The sequence below is a fragment of the Homo sapiens genome, chromosome 8 (genome assembly GCF_000001405.40).
Source record: "Homo sapiens chromosome 8, GRCh38.p14 Primary Assembly".
NCBI lineage: Eukaryota > Metazoa > Chordata > Mammalia > Primates > Hominidae > Homo > Homo sapiens.
Window position 1 is genome coordinate 58,581,042 of NC_000008.11, and position 23,032 is coordinate 58,604,073.

Below are 23,032 nucleotides of genomic sequence, written 5' to 3' on the forward strand. Positions count from 1 at the left end.
GGTGTGTTGGTGCTATCTGTGCTCAGGAACTGAGGATTAGAAAGCCAAGTGATCAGAACTGAAAAGAGGCAACAAGGTTCCTTCTATAGAGCTTTTCATATCCTAGCATCTACCATAGCTGTTTTTGTCAAGCCAGCTTGGAATCCTTTCAGAAGCTCTATTATGCATGTGAAAATGAGATTTAAAAGATTCATAAACATAACCATTGTAATGAAATTTTTGTGTTGGCTTCTGGATAGAATGCACCTAGCTACCCTTGGAGGGGGTAAAAAGGAGTTATTGTCATGACTAATTTTTCTAGGGTTCTCTTTTCTTAAATCACTGATGGATCCCTCTACCCCAACTCATCACAGCCTTGTCATTTTCTTTCTGTTTTTTAAAAATCACCATGTTTAATGCACAGGAATTCATTTGTATCCTAACTTCTCTAGCCAAATACAGATAGTCTTTCCCACTGAGTGTCTGTCAACAACTAGATTACCAGAGATGCTTCTGGACTCATTTAAAAGATCTTTCCCTTCTCTCCATTCATATTTGATGCTAACAGGTGCTAAATTGGAATTGGGAATTTTCTTGGATTAATGTAGCATTTTGAAAAACAAAAACCAGAATCTCGGTATATAATAAAAGTACCTCTCTTGTAGGATGGCACCAAGCATTATGAAAAGCCTAATGGACCACACCATTCCTGAGGTTTAAAATTCACGGCACCATGGAAATGTAGCTGAACGTCTCCAGTTTCCTTCTTTGGCAACTTCTGTATTATGCACGTGAAGCCTTCCCGGAGCCAGCGAGCATATGCTGCATGAGGACCTTTCTATCTTACATTATGGCTGGGAATCTTACTCTTTCATCTGATACCTTGTTCAGATTTCAAAATAGTTGTAGCCTTATCCTGGTTTTACAGATGTGAAACTTTCAAGAGATTTACTGACTTTCCTAGAATAGTTTCTCTACTGGAAACCTGATGCTTTTATAAGCCATTGTGATTAGGATGACTGTTACAGGCTTAGCTTTGTGTGAAAACCAGTCACCTTTCTCCTAGGTAATGAGTAGTGCTGTTCATATTACTTTAGTTCTATAGCATACTTGCATCTTTAACATGCTATCATAGTACATTTAGAATGATTGCCTTTGATTTTTTTTTTAAATTCTGTGTGTGTGTGTGTAAAATGCCAATTAAGAACACTGGTTTCATTCCATGTAAGCATTAAACAGTGTATGTAGGTTTCAAGAGATTGTGATGATTCTTAAATTTTAACTACCTTCACTTAATATGCTTGAACTGTCGCCTTAACTATGTTAAGCATCTAGACTAAAAGCCAAAATATAATTATTGCTGCCTTTCTAAAAACCCAAAATGTAGTTCTCTATTAACCTGAAATGTACACTAGCCCAGAACAGTTTAATGGTACTTACTGAGCTATAGCATAGCTGCTTAGTTGTTTTTGAGATTTTTTAGTCAACACATAATGGAAACTTCTTTCTTCTAAAAGTTGCCAGTGCCACTTTTAAGAAGTGAATCACTATATGTGATGTAAAAGTTATTACACTAAACAGGATAAACTTTTGACTCCCCTTTTGTTCATTTGTGGATTAAGTGGTATAATACTTAATTTTGGCATTTGACTCTTAAGATTATGTAACCTAGCTACTTTGGGATGGTCTTAGAATATTTTTCTGATAACTTGTTCCTTTTCCTGACTCCTCCTTGCAAACAAAATGATAGTTGACACTTTATCCTGATTTTTTTCTTCTTTTTGGTTTATGTCTATTCTAATTAAATATGTATAAATAAAGTTACATTTTAGTCTGTCTATTACTGCATCATTTGCTTTCACCAAACTTATGCATGATCTAGAAGACAGGCAGGTGAAATTCACTTTCAGCTGTGGGAGACATCATCTCCCAGAACAAGCTGACATTCAGGGGCCCTAAGAACAGCTCTCAGTGCTGAGACTGAGTGTCAGGAAAATTGCTTCCAGCTGGGAACCCCAGATTACCAGGGCCAAAAGAAGAGCTGGTTCACACCTGCCATGCAGCAGGAACTCATTGAGGCTACTGATTGTCCCTAGCAATACCTGAGACCAGGTAATATTTAATAACACTGAAACTGACTTTGGAAATTCTATTAGTGTGGTCTGACTCAAGTTTTTTCTCCTATGTCATACTACCTGCAAGATACAACAATGTTTTTAAAGAGTATAGAAAAAATAATAAGTCACACACTTACCATGGTTCAGAGGTTGAATATAAAAGGAAATCTGCTACTGCTATACAGCTTACCTTGTTTGAAATTTAGAAGAGAAAAAAATATTTGATTATCTACCTGAGTCTGAAGATAATTTCAAAATAATGGAATTACATTCATATCACTAAATATGGTTTTCTAGAAGATGATTCTAGACTTGTGGTCTTAAAAACACTAGTCTTTTAAGTTACTTAAATAAAGTGAAAACAGCTTTCTTTAGAGAAAAATATTTTTAATGTAGAAAAGATGAATAGCTGTAATGAAATACAAACCGTTCCTATACACAGTAAACTTACTAAGAACTGCTAATCCTTCTCCAGGTTCTTAGAATCTGGGTACAGCATTATAGAAAGTAACCACGCTATGAAAACACACACCCAAAACCCGATGGGTGGCAATTGTGATAGATTAGGAAGACAAAACAGATTCAGAAGTAGCAGAGAATACTGCACATTTTCTTGGAAAATTTCTTAATTGTTCAGTGCTTTCTGACAAGTTTCCCCAGCCCAATTTATCTCTTAGCTATTCTCTGCTACTTAGTCCTGTCTTCTGACAATCATCATACGGGGACGATCATCTGCCTTACAGTGTAACATGTTTTTCCTAACACAGCCGCATTTTATCTGCCCTAAGAGAATAGCAACTAATGGCTTTCAATGAAGTCACCATGATTTAGAAAGTTTAAAACCACAAATTTTCCATGTGGTAAAACTTCTAATTACTAACATTGCACATTCACCAGTCCGTTTAAAAGTTTGGTTTAAAAATGCATTAAATAGAGTTCAATTTAATATTCAGGAGAGGAAAAGGCACTTAATACTGCAATTTCCAGAATATAATTTGTCTGTCTTCCCCTCCTGTGATGATACTGCTACACTGTTCATTCATCCATATACATGTCACAGCACCTGAGAGAAAGACATTTTGGTTAGTTAGGAAGTTGACCAGGAGGCACCCAAAGATAAACTTTACTCTGATGCTTACTCTTGCTTTGCTATTCATTTACTAAACAAGTGAAGTAAGTTCTATTTTTTCTTGTCTGCTTCCTATAATAAAACCCTTGAATAAATTAAAAATAATTGCTTGGTACAAAGATCTTGTGAGGAATACTAAACCATTTAAGTGTAAATCTAAAGCTAAAACAACTGGGAATTATGGATATAGAACAATGCAAATAAATACCTTGGCGAAGTAAGTACAATACAGGTATAACATGACAAAAGTTGGGAGACAGATGTGAAGGAAAAGGTGGGGTTATTGGTGTAAGGTTATTGGTTTATTTCCTTTTCCACTGGAAGGGGTCAAATCACATTAAAGTTACTAAGTTGAGAACAAAAGTCACAAAGAATTTCATTTTTTTTGAAATAGTCTCGCTCTTGCTCTTACCCAGGCTGGAGTACAGTGGCATGATGAAGCTCACTGTAGCCTCTGTCTCCTGGGCTCAAGCTAGCCTCCCATCTTAGCCTCTTAAGTAGCTGGGACCACAGGCGTGTGTCACCACACTTTTCTAATATTTCTGGTTTTTAGTAAGAGATGAGGTTTCGCTATGTTGCCAAGGCTGGTCTCAAACTCTTGACCTCCCACTCTGGCTTCCCAAAGTGCTGGCATTACAGGCCTGAGCCACTGAGCCTGGCCCAGACTTTTTAAGGTATACATTTAAGAAGAACCATATGAAGTCGAGTGACACAGGGAAGAGAATGAAGGTAGGAAGTTACTGCTTACAGTGGGAACTCAAGGGATAACAAGAGACACTAGAAGAATTAAAAACCAAGTCCTCCAAATGATCAGAAAGCAAGCAAGAATTTGTAAGCAAACAATCTAGTGAATCTCCAAGAAATATTACCAAATGAAAAACATGGGCAGAACAGTTTATTATACTTCACATAAACAATTTAATACACATATACCCTCTCTTATTCACAGGACACACACTGGTAAAGTACTGTAAGGAGGACTGGGAGGTAGGAGTCAGCGGTAGAAAGAAGCCTTAATTTTCATTGTAGTTCCTATTGTATTGTTTCTGGGTTTTTTTTTTTTCTCTTTTTTTACTATTCTAAAAATTTAAGATCATGCTATTACCTTTAAGAAAAATAATAGCTTTACGATGGTTTTTAATTCTCCATATGAAAGTTAAAGACTTCCTTTTTGGAGTCCAATGGCTGTTAACATAAATCTAAATCCTGAGTAACCTACGAGATGCAGATCACCTGGCCAATCAAGAGGCTCCAGGGACATGTTTACGACATGGAAAAACCATGGGTGTTTTTTGCCCAAAAAGAGTATGTTCCCTGATGGAAAAGGCAGGCTTGAGTTCATTATCTTGAGAACAAAGATCAAGGCAACTGCAGTAGCTGCTTACCTGTGTGGCCCTGTATTCTCTCACTGATTTTTGCTCCAAGGAGGTCCCAAACGAGCAGTTCACCAGACTGACTGCCAGATAAAACGGAATTTCCATCCCAGACAAAGCACCTGCAAGAATGATTTAGAAATAGTCCTTTCTTCATCATGAAGGAAGGATATGTTGAACTGGCCAATGTAAGCCCAAATGAAGTGATCATGAACATGTCTGTAAATGTCTTCGCCCCCAGTAACTCACAAACTATACCTCTGGGGCTCATCTGATGTCATGGAGGAGATGAGCATTCCTGTCTGCACATCAATGACATTAAGACAGCCATCTGTTCCTGTGCTGAGGACATGGCGACTATCTGCAACACAAGGTGAGACTCAGATATGAGTGACAGCTTCAGAATGTGGTTTACATTATTCTGGATTTTATTTCTGAGTCCAGTGGCCTAATCTCCACATTCGTTTTCTTCAAAATCCTTGTACTTAAGCAATGACTATCCTCTCCTTGAAATGGTTCTAGCCCTTTCCAAGATGTAAGGATGAGATGACCCTTTGATTATGAGTTCATTTTTATCTTAAATTAATTTCTCTAATGAGGAATTAAAAATACCCAGTCCGGCTTTTCTACCTGATACAAATGCCACAAGTATACTGTACCCTGGCATAAAGCAGTGTTAGCCATTGGCAAAACCTCTTTTATCAGCAAATAGTGTTTTTCTTTGTAAGTTTTATTGTTTATTTCAAAATTAACAATATTGTTTATTTCAAAATTCCAATTTACCTAGTATTATCTGTTTTAAAAAGGATAATATCTACCTGGGCTAAAAGCAGTGTCACATACAATCCCTGAATGGCATGGAATCTGGTGCATTAAGGTGGCCGTTGTGAGGTCCCAAATATTCACTGTGCCTTCTTTGGTGCCGGAAACTAACAGTGTGCTTGCAGCATTTAAACTGATTGTATCTACCTAAGGAAGAAAACACATTGATACATATTCCATTAGATTTATGGTCATTAGCTATGTTTCTCTAGTCTGGTTCAAATATGTAGTCATCATGATATAAATTAAACTCTATTGTGCAGTATGCCGGTGTTGCTAATGCAGATGTATTTCAACATCATCCTACGGAATAACTTATTTTAAAAATGAAATTAAATTCTTTATAAGCTAGGGAATACAAGAAGAAATGAAGTATTGCTAAAGTAAAGGTAATGCTGTTTTAAAATAGCTTAAAACTGACAGTCTCAGAAAGATAACTCTATGAATAATAAATTATAGTGAGCCGCCAAAGTGCCTGAAGCACAGCCAGTCCATGATTATTTGAGGGATTTGTGGGAGTGGCGGAATCTCTCGAGGCTATACTTGCACATCATCATGAATTACATACTAAATATTTCTCAAACTCAGCTAATCTGAAGACCATGGAAATTAGGCATCAGTTCACAACCTTAGAGAAAAGGCAGTACTGTCAACTACAGCATAAGATGCAGCAGCGTGACCCAGAGAAAACAGAGCAAGTGAGAACTGAGCCAACAGGCTGCATGTACTTGACCATCCCAGACAGCTGGTCACTGTCCCCCACTGTTGGATGGGTGTCTCCTGGACAGATGGTTCCCTTCCAGCTTCTGGATCAGAAAACATGAAGGATCATAGGCCCTATCTTGTTGCCCCAAAGAGTTTGAGGGTACCAAATATTCAACGTCCTGCTCAGAAACTACTATTTTGGAATTCTAGTTGGATGGTAGCTAATTCTCAGGGAAATGTGCAAAGAAGTAACTTGGAGAAAAAATAAAACAAAACAAAGTAGACTTGGAAACCTAAAGAGTCAACACAAAGAAAAGAACTGAGATTTAGCCTATAATCTTCCATTAACCAAATAAAGCAAAACAACATGAACAAAACCAAAAACCTTCTTCCAGCCGAACCCCTAGACTTTTAAGGTCAGTTTTCTGTACAGTTTGTTGCTGGTACTCACACTGACATCATGTTCCAGCTCGGCCAGCAAGTCAAAGTGGTGTCTTTTGGTGCCTGGCATCTCTGCAGGAACACCAGACCACACCTAGGATGGAACATATTGCAGAAGGTATTTTCAAACATTTAACAAAAAGTCATTTTCTAGTGCATTCAAGAAAAACTCCTATGCTCAATTTCCATTTAACAGACTTGCCAATAAAGTTAAGCTGCACAGTGCTCCAGCTCCTCCTCCCTATGCCTGCACTTTCTCCCACCAGCATGTGCTTGCTTACTGTCCCTTGCTTGTACCTGTGTGTTTCTATCACCTGCACTTGCTGCTGTAATCGTGTGACTTTAGTATGTGAACTAAGGAAATATGAGTGTAGAAGTATTACAGTGTCTTGAGAACACTATTAATGTTTTGGGAAGACCAAAAAGGATGTTACCCCCAAAATAACTAAAAATAGGTACAGGCAAATAAACTTATCTAAAAGAATGGAAGAAAAATTCTGAAAAACTCCTGGAGGAATTCTAACAATTTTAGGTTCTTGCTTTCTTTTACACCAACACAAAATAGAAACTGAAAATAATGAAAGCTGGCGTGGTTTGTGTAAGATTTCAAAGAAAAGACTGAACATATTCCTACATCGAAAGAATGGTGAATGAATGAGCATTCAGATATTTTCAGTTTAAATAAAATGTGTCTTTTAATGATTCCTCACTTTAACTTGACATTTTCTTTTTTTTTTTTTTTAAGTACAGTTTCCATTTAATTTTTCTCCAGAGAATAGCCTGTCTTCAGTCTTTAAGAACTCAGCTCCTTACATGGGCTTTGGTGGGGGACGTGGGGCAGCACCCGCAGGTCTAAATTGGGGTGGGGGTGTTCGGTCCTTGCAGGCTTCACGAGATCGATTCCTGACTACTTTGCTGTGAATTGCACAACTCACACAGTAATGTAGCTTCACATACAGCTTGGGAAGCAAATAGGCATCAAAGATGCTCGCTTCAGAAATGTCCCTGACTGCTGCGGCCTCCACTATGTTTCGAATGACGAATTTCTTAATGGCCTTGTCCTTGGGCATGCATCGGGCACAGTTAGTGCAGCGAATAGGCTGCACGTGGCCGCGGCCCTTTTTGGCACGACCATTGTTCCTTCTTTTCTTTGTCATCTTGGAGGCACGGACCGGAGAGAGCTAACTTGACATTTTCTAATTAACTATAATCAACTAATATTTCTGATCATGGCAGATGAAAGGGGCTGCTACTATACATTTCTTTCTAACTCTGCTATTGAATGAATGCTAGACCATTCATCCCACAATGGAATACACAGTACAGAAATCATGATAAACTTATTATATTAAGAAGTGGCTATAATTCCCACTACTGCACTCTAGCCCCAGCCTAGGTAACAGAGCAAGACACTGTCTCTAAAAAAAATAAGTAAATAAGGAAGTGTTTTTTTTAAACAAAAAATAAAAAGAATGTACATATCACAAAGTATGTGATACGTAAGGATATTGAATGTTATTGCCTGTGTTTAAAAAATATATAATATGTATTATATAAATAAAAATATATAAATATATGTAATATATAACAGATATTATATTTTAAATATAAATAATATATAAATATATATTATAGATATATTTTATATGTATTTTTTAAACACAGGCAATAACATTCAATATCCTTACACTCACACGCTTTGTGAAAAAGAGTGGAGTGACTGAACACATTAGCAATAGGTAGTTGAGTGGCTTATAATATCTGTATGTACATTTTAAGCTAAAAATTATACATATGCCATATAGCACACCAAGTTAAAAAAACTTTTTAAATTATATATGAACCTTCACTGTAGAGTCCCACGATGCAGAATATAGCCTGTTGTCATGCCAACAGATCTTACTAACAGCATCATCATGTCCCATTAACGTGTCCTGGCGTCTTCCAAATGCTATGGAATAAAAATAGCTAAAAGATAATGAGAAGCATTAAAACAGTAGTCTGGCTTAATTTTAAGGCTCCTAAACATATATTAAAGAAACATTATGTTGTTTCATTCTATACTTACTAAGGCTCACTAGAATTACAAATTGCTTGTTCTCAAATTACTAAATCAAAATATTCAAAATTTGAATTTAAAATTAGAAATTTCCATGTCTGGCTCATCTGTTTTCTCCTCAATTTAAAACTTAGAGAAAAACAGACTCCAATTGGAGAAATTATTCAATCTAAGCAATCATATTCAAATCCAACCATACTGTCCTCATCTCTAATATCTGTTCCCTTTAGAAAACAGTGCTGTGTCCTGGCAGGGAAAGCTTCTGGCTTTTCACACCTCATGTCCACAGAGGCAGCTATTCTGCACGTCGAATCACAGAGCAGGGTGCACAGATACATACACATTATTATCCCATGAAGAAGTTATGACAGTGGCATCTCCTGGTAAAAGTAAACAAGACGATAAAGCCTGAAATACAAATGATTTGACGTTAACAATCTATAATAATTAGTAAGTCTCTAACACAGTAAAGCTATCTTATACATTTCCGAAAAATTAATGCTCAAATCGTCTTTATGTGGCTCTCCTCCTATTTACGCAGATTTTCTCAACTGGCTAATTCCAGCTGTAGGGTTTTTTCCCAAATGCAGGAAGGAATGTCCATGTATGTCAAGGGTATTTACGACCTAGCCTGATGACTCTCCAGGGTCCTGCCCTGGGCTGGAAGAAGCCCACTCACACTCTGGAGTAAATCTCCAGTTGGGGGCAGACTGGGGATGATCCTCAAGAAAGAAAATACCCCCTCTGGACTACAGACTTGTGTGGGTAAGAAAACCTTCCAAAATTCTTCAGAGAATTTCCAGATCTTTTGCATGATTTACATTAAAAATAAAATGTGTTCTTTCAGAAGAATTGGTTTTGTCATATTAGATATCCTACCAACTCAGAGATGCATAAATTAAGTAGCACATAACATTTAGTCTGACAGCTAAAAAAGGGAGAGGTTTATTTAAGTAGAATTCTACTGGGTAGCTCTCCAAGTATTTTAAGCTAAAAATGAAATCACAACAGTAAGAGAAAGTGGTAACCTGAAAAAAATTTTACATTGAAATTAGAAGTAATCTAACTAAGGTATCTGGTAGATTTACTACACAGGAATAAACTCAATTGTTTTGGGAGAAATAAAGTATTATTGTATGGGTGTGTATAAAACAAACTACTACACGGATTTCTATCATAATACTATTAAAATGAACTCACCATATTTGAAAATGATATACTTCTTTGTAGCATTTTTGATTCTTTAGAAAACATCTTCAAGGTGGAATCTAATTTAATAATGAGAAGTAGATATATAAGAAAGATTTCCTAACCATTACAGACGTCAAAGAACAGCTGCTCTTCTTGTTCCTGGTGGCCAACAGTACACTTTATACTCCAAAGTATAATCTTATGGAAAACCGAATGTAAACAGAGCTAGATGACCTAAGGCCTCATCCAACATTAAGATTCTATGACCTGTAACCCCATGACAAAAACATCAATTTAAAAATCCAGCACAGACATGGTAGGTATACTGTTGACATTTCAGCATGACTGCAGGCAGAAATGTGGTAGCTGGTATATGCAGAAAGTTACAGGGAGGAAAATAGCAATTTTAATAGTAACAATGAAACAGTAATTTTAATACTAAATAAGACAAAAAGATCTTGGCAATATGTTTTCTTTAAAAAAACTGCCCAATTATATATAGTTAAGTGTGATACCCTTGCACTGAACATTAGTTATAGAAGGGAACCACTGACTTTCTAAATAATAATAAAGTAGAAATTAAAAATCCAAGCATTTAATTTTCTTGTGTAACAGAAACCTTCCTTTTTTTTTTTTTTTTTTTTTTTTTGACACAGTATCACTCTGTTGCCCAGGCTGGAGTGCATTGGTGTGATCTTGGCTCACTGCAACTTCCATCTCCTAGATTCAAGCAATTCTTGTGCCTCAGCCTCCCGAATAGCTGGGATTTTTTGACGTGCACACCACGGCTGGCTAAGTTTTGTATTTTTAGTAGAGACTGGGTTTCACAATGTTGGCCAGGTTGGTCTCGAACTCCTGGCTTCAAGTGATCCGCCCCCTTCGGCCTCCCAAAATACTGGGATTACAGGTGTGAGTAACTGTGCCCGGCCTCAAAACAACCTCTTAAAACCCAAGACTCACAAATTACAAGGCTCTAATGTGCTTCAGACATCCTATATTTGAGATATGTAACAATCTATTTTCTAACTTACACAACGTGATGTCGGAATGATCTTTAAATAATTTCTTCTGCACAGTATAACTTAATAATTCAACCCAATTTTTGCAACCCCAACACACAGAATTCCTGACAATTTATAAACATGAGCCTCAATAAGATATTCTTCAGCATTAATTTGAAAACGAAAACAGAAGAATGAACACAGTATCACTTGAACTTTCCCCTGAGCAGTATAATTAGATCTGATAGTCTTCCCAACCTTGCTTTTGATTCTCTTAGGCAATTCTGAGCATTCACCACAAAATCTATTTAAGATGATTAATTTGAGACATCCTACAAAAAAAACCAGAAACCAGTCGGTTCTATAAAGATGTTTTTCTCTCCTTGATGTCTAGTGGTTAGGATTTGGTGCTCTCACTGCAGCAGCCTGGGTTCATTTCTCAGTCAGGGAACCAAAAAAATGGAAAAAGAAAATAATAAAAGAAAAAAAAAGACGTTTTTCTTGAAATCAAGGATCCCCTGTACTAGAGGTCATCATGTTAAAGACTGCAGTAAAAGCTAAGCTCATAAGTGGTGGGTTCTGTGCCTGCCCACATACCTAAACATACTGTATACTAGAAGAAGATATGTAATTTTGGGGTGACCATCAGGATACATATAAATCAGTAATATGAATTATGAAAATCTAAATATGAGAAAAACAAACAGAAAAAAACAAAAGCTTTTGACTTTATTTTTAAACTCTCTCGGCCGGGCGTGGTGGCCCATGCCTGTAATCCCAGCACGTTGGGAGGCCGAGGCAGGTGGAACACCTGAGGTCAGGAGTTCAAGACCAACCTGGCCAACATGGTAAAACCCCATCTCTACAAATATACAAAAATTAGCCAGGCACGATGGTGGGTGCCTGTGAACCCAGCTACTCAGGAGGCTGAGGCGGGAGAATCGCTTGAACCCAGGAGGCGGAGGTTGCAGTGAGCCAAGATCGTGCCATTGCCCTCCAGCCTGGGCGACGGAGCAAGACTCTGTCTCAAAAAAAAACAAAAACAAAAACAACAACAACAAAAAAAAAACCTCTCTCTCCTTTATTGTGAAAATCCACAGAGGAGTGACATAATGCTTAATAAGCCTCAGTGGTTTGAAGCCACAACGCTCATCAAATTCATGGTTAACAAGGTCATACAAGTACAACTGTGCTGAACGATTTAACAAGCCATCCCAGACAAATCCTGCTAAGAACACAGGTTTTGCTTAAAGATAAAGCACTTTGTCTGAGGCTATAATTTTTGGCAAACTCCACAGGTAGAAATCCTGGCAAAATACAGATTGCTTCCTTCTATCAGAGAAGTGCCTCGGTGACCCTGGCATGGCCCAGTTTGGGAACTGCACATGAACTTCCTTTTGATCTACTGTGTAGAATCACTTCTATGCTTTGTGGAAAATTTTTTTATATACAATCCAAGACAGTATTTGAAAAAGAACAGAATGAAATGCTACAGATCATAAACAATGATAACAGAATCTGAGAGTAGTAATTCTGATTTTCCTGAAAGTGTTTAGTTGGATAGCACTTTGTCTTAATGAATGAAAAATATAATCTCCTATGATAAAGACTAAATAACGAGTAGCCTTACTTTATAAAGTTACAAACTTTGTCAGAACAAGTTGTTTTCTCATGGAAGCAGGAAGCAAAGATACTACCCTTCCATCTCTGCATCTTCCAGAGTGCCAACACAGTGCTCTCAACATGACAAGGCCAAGACATACTTTAATGAATAATATATAATGCAGACTACCAGGGAGAGAACAATGGTGTATATAGTAAGGGATGCTTTCTGCTTTACAGCTATAAGTCATATCAATGACACACTGCAAGGGTTTTTATAATTTTGATAATGTATAAGCATATTAAATAATACATGAATTTGATTTTGAGCTAAATCAAATATCCCGAAGAAATATACACTGAATGACAAAACTGCAAACCGTAACAGCAAATCTGCATTTCCACGTGCTGACAGGCACACATCAATTTCTGATACAGCACTTGCTACTCACAGCCAACCCCAACAAGTGGACAGCGCACCTCTCATGGGCAGGCAGGAAGTGCCTGACCCAGCAAGGGTGTGGAAAGGAGGCTGTTTCTGTCCTCTATCCTCAACTCTGGGAAACCTCATCAGCAACAGAAAGATGTTTCATTATTATTTTTGGCAAATTACCATGAAACTCTATGTAATGTACCACAAAGGAACTGCTCTAAGTTTACTTTATGTGGAGGCAGCACATGCAAGTGCAGTCCTTGACCACGAGCTAAATAATAAAGAACTCAGACATTCTAGGATTTTGGTTAAGCCGCCTTTCGGGGAGGAACACTGACCTTGGGATGTTGTGAATACTGAAGATCCATTGCGAGAGACCGTGATTCCAGTAACTGCTCTGCTCAAAAACAAAGTTTCACAAATTACTACTCATCATGTGTTAGGATACCCTCTTTGTTTCATATCCTTGATTTAATTTTACCAAGTTTCCTTAATTTTTTTCTTCACAGCATGTCTGCCGGATCTGTCCCAGCATAAACCTGCCATTACCAAATCACTGCTTGGCACCTTCTAACGTTCTGGCAACGCCTGTGGCTAGAAAACATCCCCACTCTTTGCTTCCCTGTGTTCCACATGCAATGCTTTACATATTCCTGACAATTTCTGGCAATTGGAAAACTCTTCTCCTTCTATTCCCCCTCGTTTGACCATCACCAAAAGGACAAACTCTTCTTCACAGTCACTTCACTTGCTGATTACTGAAGCTAATTTACTCAGTGACTATTCAATGATGAGAAAATTGGTTCCAGCCTGTCCTCTTAAAGGATCATTCAGTCTTCACTACCTTGGATTACAAGGTCCCTTCCTATGTGCCATTTAGAGAAGTTGAGAAAAGACAGCCATTGTCATCATGAATCAGCCAAAACTCCTTGTTTCTCTTCGGGAGGCTGGACTGTGATGTGAAGCCATCCATCTAATGCACAGCAGTATGCCCAGCTCCACCCATGACCTGTATGCCGGAGGGGCTGTCTGTCGTCATGGAGCTAGGTGGGGCCTAGTCTCTGGACCTGGGTTTCCTCTCTGTAGCAGGATGAACAGGCTAGGTCAGTGCTTCTCGAGCCTTTCTACCAGAGAACATGAAGGTCTTAATGAGAGAGGGCAGAGAACACACATATCATCTCTGGGTCCAACAGCAAGCCCAATTTCTTAGAAGCATAATTATTTTTAAAATTCATGTGAACTTTGCAATGTTCTCTGGGAGAGCTAATTTTTTTAAAAGGTGCCTTTTCACCTACATTATGTGTAAATCCAACACTCGTGGGGTATACATCACACTTCTCCCATCAAAGATTCAAGGAGCTGTGTACTCCAATTTGAGAGGCACAAAACTGGCTGCTCTCTGCCGACCACATCTTGTACTGTGAAGTGACAGACTGCAGAAATGACAGCACGGTAGCCACCACAAATCATTTCGTGCCAAACTTTCCCTACTACATCAACCTCAGGTGGAGATCACTATAGACATTTTGGGGAGATTTTTAAAAATAAAGACAACATTGAAAGGGAATTTTCCCTCTGACTCAGCTTAAAACAGTTTAATCCCATGCCAAGACCCTAACTTTTACCAGGACTATCAGCTGCTGAGAAGAAGCAGAGATATTCTTACTCTTTGTGGATTTTATAGTGCTCGTGTAACTGCAGTTTGGTGATGTTATTCCAGGCCAGTGTTTTGCTTTCTTCGGTCAGGTCTTCAAAAGACTCTTCACCTGGAGAGACGACATTAAATTTTTGCTAAGTCAACTAAGTTACCAACAGACAACAGCATCAGATTAACAATATTTTCTATTAAAATCAAACAACTAAGAAATGAAACACCCTGTCACAATATAACTGCTTTGAAATGTACCTGTTAGATGGTTCCACGTTAGTCAAGGAAAAAATTGTATAGAGAAAGATAAAAAGTATCTTTGAATAATACTAGAATCTTTTTATACTTTAACAATGTTTGCAAAGTTTTCACTCGGCCTCTAACTTATGAATTTGGGGAAATACAAGACTGAGTCATCATTTCCTTGTCAACATTGTTTCAAAAACCTGACAGTTGCCTAAGAATGCAACAATTTTGTTCTGGTGTGGGGTGGGGAAAGCAGAGATGAAATCAATTACCGCAAGGGCTTCTGGCAGGAGTAATCCTTTTACTTCTGCTTTAAGAAGGGCTGAAACAATTACCATCTTAAAACAATCACATGACAGTGGTTACAGCCTGGTGACTAAGCAGAGTGCAGTTTGAAACAGCATCACAAGATAATCCTGTGATCTTCATGATTTAACCCTCTAGAGTATTCTCTCTTAAAGAAGCTACCCCTGGGTCATGTAACTCCAGGAAGCTATTTCTCCATGCTTGAGAGAATGCTCATCTATGTATGCCTAAAATGTCTGGATGTCCTTGGAACAGACAGGAGGATAGGAGATAAAAAGTGATTTTGCTCCCAAAGCTCCACAGAGTGTCAACCTCCTTCTGGAAGCCTGTAGGTTTGAAGTTGTCTTAGGTAAAATCTAAAACCTGGGTAACTGGAGAAAGGTGAGTGTTCTTTCCTACCTTTCCAAATATTAGATGTGAGAACTGGGTCAAGTTCAATTTAGTGCCTAGCACATGCCCAGCGCAGAACAGATACCCTGTAAATGTTTGTCAAATGTTAAATAAGTGAAATCCAATGAAGAAGAGAGAGCACTTTGAATTCAAGATGTATGTGGGGCCGAGCGCGGTGGCTCAGGCCTGTAATCCCAGCACTTTGGGAGGCCGAGGAGGGTGGATCACGAGGTCAGGAGATCGAGACCATCCTGGCTAACACAGTGAAACCCTGTCTCTACTAAAAATACAAAAATTAGCCGGGCGTGGTGGCGGGCGCCTGTAGTCCCAGCTACTCAGGAGGCTGAGGCAGGAGAACGGCGGCGTGAACCCGGGAGGCGGAGCTTGCAGTGAGCCGAGATGGCGCCACTGCACTCCAGCGTGGGGGACAAAGCAAGACTCCGTCTCAAAAAAAAAAAAAAAAAAGATCTGTATGTGGGTATAGAAGAGCATAATTAGGGCCAGAGAAAGTCCCTTCTGGAAGACAGCAGGGCTGACAGTGACTGGGAAGGCAGACTGGACAGCTAGGACTGTAAGAATGAAAAGGCAAATAGCTAAGGATCAAACACCAGCTTCAAAACCACAGAAGAGAAAGAGAACCACATCAAAACATATATGGCCAACTTTCACTCATATTCAATTGCCAGAAAATAAAAGCGATTTGATTTCCCTTACAGTCTATAGCTGAAAACAAACAACATCAGCAAAAACAGGTATCTGTTTTCAGGAGAACTGCAATAAGGCAGGAGAACACAATCATCTCTAAGTAGCACAACAGTATACGTCTTATCTCCTCTTCAGAAACATTTTCATCACAGAAGAGAAACAAAAGGTGCTCACGTTTATTCTCTTTACAAAATTTACCTGGGGAATCTGCCATAGAAGCATTATAACTGGAGGTCTGGGACAAACTTTTAAACTTTGGGGTGATCCTTCGAGGATGTGGTGTCACAAATAGTTGTTTTGGTGTCTGCCCAAATTCCAAGATTTGCGTAAGCATGGCTACCTTCTCATCAGGATCCTGGATGCTTTGGGACAGAACACAAATAATGCAGTGAACCACTAGGTTCGAGTTCCTTGAAAGCACGCATTTCAAATAGTACTGATCAATAGGAGGGACTAACCCTCAAATAATGACAGCAACTATGTACCAGGATTGTCTAAACCTCATTATAGACCTTCAGAATATTTTCTGATGCTCAGTAACACAACAGTGAAAGCAAGATAGAATTCATTTTAAAATTTCCATACCTCAACCTTCAAATAAATACATTAATAATTTAGATAAAGACATATCTTATAACTCAAGTAGAAACTCCTTATTGACATATAAGTACCTGTTCAAGTCTACACCTCCTTCATAGGTCAGGGGATGAAATACTGAAAAAGACATACAAAACACTATTGAAAGATGTGCTATTTCAATGTAATATACACTGTTTAGAACCTAAACAATGCAACAACTTAAAACTCATGTTCAAAGAAATTGCTATTCACTTTGCAAAACAGACTAATATCCAACTGCAGTAAATACCAACTTGAATATTATCTTCAGATGAACAAAAATCTACTTGTCAGGTAGAGGACCTGTCATCTCAGTCAGCATTGTTTTCTCCTGAGAGGAAGCATGACTTATAGAATTAATAAGACGGAATTTCCATGTAAAAAATTAGGTCTGAATTTCCAGCTACAGCTCCTTGTTATGAACATGGGCGATATGGATTATATGTGAGTTCATTTATTAAAAAAAGAAAACACACATGAGAAACGTGGAAGAAGATAAGCATTGAAACTGAAGAGAAGGTATATTGCTGCTATTTTCTGTTAAATTAAAAAAAAAAACTCTGGCAGCTACTTGGGAGGCTGAGGCAGGAGGATTGCTTGAACCCAGGAGCCAGAGGTTGCAGTGAGCCAAGACTGCACCACTGCACTCCAGCCTGGGTGACAGAGCAAGACTCTGTCTCAAACAAAAAAAAAAAAAAAAAAAAAGAAAAAAAAAAGAAAAGAAAAGGAAAAGAAACTCTGGGTCTTCCATAGGAATTGAGGCCACTGTTCTATCACACTGTAATAGAGTTTTAATTGAAATTATTCAGTGGGATGTAGAGTATATGCTAAAATTAGAAGACTTTATAAAAAGACCTCTTGGGGCCAGGATGAATTTGGTATTATTTGGGCAAAAGTCCTCCCTCCTTGTCAGTTACTCAATATCTAATCCAGGGGCTGGGCGCAGTGGCTCACACCTGTAATCCCAGCACTTTGGGAGGCCGAGGTGGGCAGATCACCTGAGGTCAGGAGTTTGAGACCAACCTGGCCAACATGGTGAAACCGTCACGACCAAAAAAAATACAAAAAAATTAGCTGGGCATGATGGCAGGTGCCTGTAATCCCAGCTACTCGGGAGGCTGAGGCAGTAGAATCACTCGAACCAGGGAGTCGGAGGTTGCAGTAAGCCAAGATTGTGTCACTGCACTCCAGCCTGGTGACAGAGCAAGACTCCATCTCAAAAAGAAAACCAAAAAAATATCTGATCCAGGGTCATGCAGCCAGTGGACGCTGGAGTCTGACAGAACATGCTTCCACTGAAGAAATAAGACTAATTGCTTTGGCCTCATTTTTTTGTTGGTATTGTTTGCTTTCATTTTCCAATGAAAATGAATAATGCTAAATATTCACCCAATGCTAAATAAAATTTCAATGAATATTACATACCATTATGGGCCCCAACTGCATCACTCCCTTTTTGTTTGTAGCCAAATATTAGATCAATCCACTCGTGAAGGTGTTCAGACACATAATTGCTTTCCAATGCATCTTTGCTCTTCTGGAGAAAGTCCTCGGGACCTATTAGATTAGACTCAATCGAAAAATCATGGAGTCTTCATTTTTTTCCTCCCATTTCTCTTGTCTATCTATATGTATATAAAGCTTCTAGGACAGGCAAGAGGTCCATATTTCTTAATGCAGTTTTCTTTTTCTATCATATGAAATGTAAGTTTTTTGGGGAAAAAAGTGGCAAGAATCATTTTCACATTAAGGTCTCTCAAATATATATTAATGTTTTTACATCACAGACTCATAGAATACTTCTGATATGGAATAGGGCTCATATATCCTTATTTAGAGAATTATATTGTGATTTTTAAAAATCTAAGCAATAAAATAATTACTGAAATTGCACTACTTGGTAAAGCATGTCTATAATACAACACCTCCAAGGGGGGACTCACTGGAAGCCCAAGGGGGAAGCTCCACGTCGTCAACCATCTGTCCTCCTTGTCTCTTTCCCAAATCCAACTTCAGGCTATTGACTAGAAAGCTCACATCATCACCATAGAATTCTGGAATTAACTGAAAGTTTCGGGGAAAAATAAAAAAGAACAACAAACATGTTTTAAAGCAGTTAGAAACCCCAAGTCCAGTTACTCATCAGCTTTATTAACTGCTTACCTCTTTAAAATCCGTTGCACCATCCAGACAGTTTTTCCAAGTTTCTGCAATACTACATATGAAAAAAAAATTCACCTATTTTCAGCTAAGGAAATAGCAATAGCAGCATTTCCTATGCACTTGGGGGCTGTTCTACACTTTACCTGTATTAACTTCTGTTTGTCATTTCCACATAGTTCTAACCATCTCTCTGAGTGTCCCACTTTAACAAAAGGGAACACTGGGGCCCAGAGAGTTTATGTAACTTCTCCAGGGTCACATGGCGGGAGTGGGCATAGAGTCCGAGTCCACACCATTAGCTACCATATACACATTGCCTCATCCAAGGGCCAAATGGAGCAGGGTGCCTCCACACTGAAAGATTAGCACCACTGGTAGGGCGCGGTGGCTCACACCTGTAATCTCAGTACTTTGGGAGGCCAAGGCGGGTGGATCACGAAGTCAGGAGATCAAGACCATCCTGGCCAACATGGTGAAACCTCATCTCTACTAAAAATACAAAAATTAGCTGGGCGTGGTGGCATGCGCCTGTAGTCCCAGCTACTCAGGAGACTGAAGCAGGAGAATCGCTTGAACCCGAGGCGGAGGTTGCAGTGAGCTGAGATTCTGCTCACTGTACTCCAGCCTGGGCGACAGAGCAAGACTCTGTCTCAAAAAAAAAAAAAAAAAAAAAAAAAGATTAGCACCACTATCTGAATGGCTCATTGCAAAAGGAATTATTATTAGATATGTGTAGAGTTCAAAAAAAATGAAAAGGACATACCAAAAAATTTACAACAATTATTATCTCAGTGTGGTGGGATACCAAGTAAACTTATTTCCTTTTTTATAGTTGCTGATTTTTTTGGCAAGAAAATATTACTTTTATAATTTAAAAAGTAAAGCCATCTAAATACACACAGGGAGCTGTATTCAATTCACAGCAAAATTATCAAGAATAATAAAGTGTGGGAAACAATCTAAATGCCCAACAATGGAGAAAAGAAGTTGACATAAAATATGGCATATGTTAGAATGTGATACAATAATTTTAAAAAAGAATCATTGTTTTGAAGAATATCTAATAATATGGGAAAAACTTTAAGATTTAATATTAGGCTACAAAAGGTAGGACAAAAAGCTGTACATAAAATATGTTCTCACATTTACACACACATATACATGTCTAGAAAAAGCCTGAGAGGAATAGATAGAACAATTAGTGATTTTTTACATTTCTTTACTTTTTTATTATATCCAGTGCTTTGAAACAAGTATGTTGTATATATACAATCAGAAAGTGTTAAAAATGATAAGCAAGGCATTTGTATCAAACCTGTTGAACATTCTATCTGCATTATCAAATCTTCCATTCTGCAGGCACAGCATATACTCTGGTGCTAGAGGGGAAAAAGTCAGAGGTAAGTCAGGTCACAGAATCATTGAAGAATACAGTGAAATAAAATTTAATTGGGGGTAATGATAAAGAATCTTACCAATCCTAACAAGATAAAAAAGTACATAACCCGGGGAAGAGTAGTGACTCCCATACATGAACTTTGGTTCAGGCATTTCCTGGTAGCGTGTCTAGAATACAGAAAAAAAAAAAAAATAGAGCTAAGTGTTGGCTATGAAATAATAACTGACAAGTAGAAAAAGCCTAAAAGAAATCATAACATAGATATACCATATTCCTTAATTTCTCTGTTAGATAAGAAAAGGAGAAGATAAGAGGGAAAGAAAATCTGTGGCTAAACAGCATTCCTGAGACAAGTATTTTGGTTTCCCTGGCTTAATGGTAACAAAATGTTGGCACTAGATTAAATAGAACTGATTTTATGTGTCTCTTATGCGATTTACCACAGAATGCCTTCATGAAAATAATTCAGTGAACCTGTAAACAGGTTGCCCTCCTCCTTCCTAAACTGCAGACAAGAAATGCAAATGGTGAGCAGCTAATTCACGGTCAGGAGAAAAGTAAGAAAAAACTCTACGTAGAGTCACTGGTATAATTCCCCTAAGCCTTGGAGAAACGAATTTCCTTCCATAAAAACACAGGCCATGGCTTCTCGTGTTGCTTAGAAACCAAGAATCTCTAAGTCCACATACCAGTAGTCTCTCCAGCCGTTCCTTATTTAGGGCCCCTACTGGCTTACTGAGATCCCGGAAGGTTCCTGGATTTGACAAATCTATAAACATAAATCAATAAATAACTTCAGCTTATACTTAGTACCATTAACCTCCTGAATTAATTCAAATATACACATTTACTTCCACAAAAGTTTTTTTAAAAATTGAGAGCAATCCATGAGAGTTATTTTTGTTAGTTATTTATGTAGATGTAAAGAAAAGGTTAGCAATTTTGAGTTTTAAGTTAGACACAACCACTTAAGAGCAATATCTCTAATTTGACAATGCCCTGAACATTAATTTTTTTAAAAAAGTTTCTGATTAAGGAACATATATATATTCCAAGTAAAACAACAACAACAACAAAATTTTAAAAGCCATTATTCTTCTACCAAGATTTACTTTCTACATTCGAATTCTAGTGAATATTATTATTCTTCAATATTAGCCTATTTGAGAACTAGTGAGCTAAATATTTTCAGAGAAATACTTTATCATATTTCTAGAAAATCTATTATCTCTTTCAAGGACAAAGGTTCAAGATAATGTGTCAAGAGGAACTAACTGTTCACAATATATAATTTTTAAATATTACAAAATAAAGTTACAATACAATTACATTTTTCTTAAAATAATCTGTGGTAGCAAGAGAAGAGTAGATATACCCCAAAGGTAAAGTGGTTATCTCTGTAATATAATTATGGATGATTTTAATTTTCTTCTTTGATTATTTCAGGACTTTCCAAGTGTTCTATAACAAATAATCACAGTTTTTAATGTGATTTTTAAAAATAATATAAGGTGAGTGAAATTTTCAAAGTGAGAAGCAAATATTTCAAAACGTGGTACTTATAGGTAATAATGATAACCCTGGGTTAAAATCATGCCCATTTTTTCTGTGTGTGTCCTTCAAGAAGTATGGTGGAAAAAACATACATGAAACACTTACGTAACACTTATATAGTATCCTGGAATGGAAATTGGCAGTCCTTAGCAATACAACTGAAATGAGTTGTAATTTGTTCACATGTCACATCACAATTATAAAATAGAATTTATTCTGTCCTTTAAAAACAATACAGATGACTACTCCCCACTCAACTTGGTCAGAATTCCACGTGTGGCAGTTACCTAGTTCTGAGCTGGAATAATCATGTATTATCCATGGAAACACAGGGTACTGGGAGAGGTCGTTGCAGCTGCGGTCGGCCAGGTTGTTGAGGTGAAGGAGGTACTGATAGTTGGAAAGGTGTCCACGCTGCCACTGCAGCATGTAGCTCTCAGCAGTGTGCTCCGCCACATGGTGCTCTGGGGGAAGAGGACCCACGAGGTCTGCCACTTAACTTCGCAAACTTAGTATGCAAAAGCTAGGGGCTTAACGTGTAGACCATCCCTGTGCATTCTTGAAAAATGCATTGTAAGAAAAAGAAAAGTAGGCTGCTGACTTGTTTTCATAAAGTATTTGTTCAGCTATGTATAAACAGTTCCAAGATCAAGGAGGGGAAATTATTAAATACACTGAGCTATTACACTACCCTCCACAATATGACATAACCTAAACAAATACAAAAGTGTAGCGCAAATATATAAATATTACATGTTAATAGGTAATATTTATACAGTAACAAAGAATCCCTCCAAATGTGCTGTCTCCATGCATTTAAAAACCCATGGCCATCTGGGAAAGCTTATTTCTTTTATTATTTATGAAATTAAAGCAATCTTTTAGTTTTCTTTTAGGCTTGGAAGAGATGTACTACTGCTAATTTGTCAATGACTACATATTATTTATGCATGTGAAGACTAAGGAAAAGAAAAGAAATTGTTAAAGAAGAAAACAGGCGTTTGGCAGGAGGACCAATTCTCAAACTAAAAGAACCAGACCTGCCCCCTGAAATACCTCAGGAAAAATGAGATCTTAGATAAATGCAGCAATGAGAACTTCCCTTTCAGAGTGTAAAATGAATTAACTGTCCTACAAGTGGATTTTCCATT

The 23,032-nt window shown here is 37.8% G+C and overlaps 2 protein-coding genes and 1 pseudogene across 41 annotated transcripts in view, besides 2 other annotated features; 1 reads left to right on the plus strand and 2 right to left on the minus strand.

The window, feature by feature from the left end:
* Window positions 1-1,817, plus strand: part of SDCBP (syndecan binding protein) — a 29,598-nt gene extending 27,781 nt beyond the window's left edge. For all 10 annotated transcript variants that reach the window (NM_001348341.2, NM_001330537.2, NM_001348340.2 and 7 more), the window contains one exon: window positions 645-1,817. In NM_001348341.2, the coding sequence (NP_001335270.1) occupies window positions 645-699 (55 nt within the window). In that variant the 3' untranslated portion in view covers window positions 700-1,817. The remainder of the gene's footprint in view (window positions 1-644) is intronic.
* A 645-nt stretch (window positions 1,818-2,462) lies between these two features.
* Window positions 2,463-23,032, minus strand: part of NSMAF (neutral sphingomyelinase activation associated factor) — a 76,350-nt gene continuing 55,780 nt past the window's right edge. For 13 of the 31 annotated variants that reach the window (NM_001412988.1, NM_001412996.1, NM_003580.4 and 10 more), the window contains 19 exons: window positions 22,169-22,345; window positions 21,017-21,096; window positions 20,404-20,494; window positions 20,244-20,307; window positions 18,929-18,980; window positions 18,709-18,829; window positions 18,191-18,322; window positions 16,819-16,861; window positions 16,346-16,509; window positions 14,519-14,618; window positions 13,191-13,249; window positions 9,826-9,893; window positions 8,966-9,033; window positions 8,411-8,534; window positions 6,577-6,660; window positions 5,417-5,567; window positions 4,857-4,959; window positions 4,611-4,720; window positions 2,467-3,159 (listed from right to left, as the gene is read on the minus strand). In NM_001412988.1, the coding sequence (NP_001399917.1) occupies window positions 3,065-3,159; window positions 4,611-4,720; window positions 4,857-4,959; window positions 5,417-5,567; window positions 6,577-6,660; window positions 8,411-8,534; window positions 8,966-9,033; window positions 9,826-9,893; window positions 13,191-13,249; window positions 14,519-14,618; window positions 16,346-16,509; window positions 16,819-16,861; window positions 18,191-18,322; window positions 18,709-18,829; window positions 18,929-18,980; window positions 20,244-20,307; window positions 20,404-20,494; window positions 21,017-21,096; window positions 22,169-22,345 (1,886 nt within the window). In that variant the 3' untranslated portion in view covers window positions 2,467-3,064. Of the gene's footprint in view, window positions 3,160-4,098; window positions 4,721-4,847; window positions 4,960-5,312; window positions 5,568-6,576; window positions 6,661-8,410; window positions 8,535-8,965; window positions 9,034-9,825; window positions 9,894-13,190; window positions 13,250-13,696; window positions 13,814-14,518; window positions 14,619-14,758; window positions 14,816-15,018; window positions 15,035-16,345; window positions 16,510-16,818; window positions 16,883-18,190; window positions 18,456-18,690; window positions 18,830-18,928; window positions 18,981-20,243; window positions 20,308-20,403; window positions 20,495-21,016; window positions 21,097-22,168; window positions 22,370-23,032 lie in introns of those variants that run through there. The other 18 variants (NM_001144772.1, XM_047422320.1, NR_182087.1 and 15 more) reach the window with 17 other exon arrangements.
* RPS26P7 (ribosomal protein S26 pseudogene 7) lies at window positions 7,305-7,747 on the minus strand (annotated as a pseudogene).
* Window positions 13,586-14,785: an enhancer, noted in NCBI's record as "MED14-independent group 3 enhancer chr8:59507186-59508385 (GRCh37/hg19 assembly coordinates)". NCBI's record gives its function as "activates an origin of replication core promoter dependent on BRD2, BRD4, P300/CBP and CDK7 cofactors, and independent of MED14, by STARR-seq in HCT116 cells {active_cell/tissue: HCT116}" and the evidence as "EXISTENCE:reporter gene assay evidence [ECO:0000049][PMID:35650434]".
* Window positions 15,135-15,184: an enhancer, noted in NCBI's record as "active region_27412". NCBI's record gives its function as "activates an Ori minimal core promoter by ATAC-STARR-seq in GM12878 lymphoblastoid cells {active_cell/tissue: GM12878}" and the evidence as "EXISTENCE:reporter gene assay evidence [ECO:0000049][PMID:35858748]".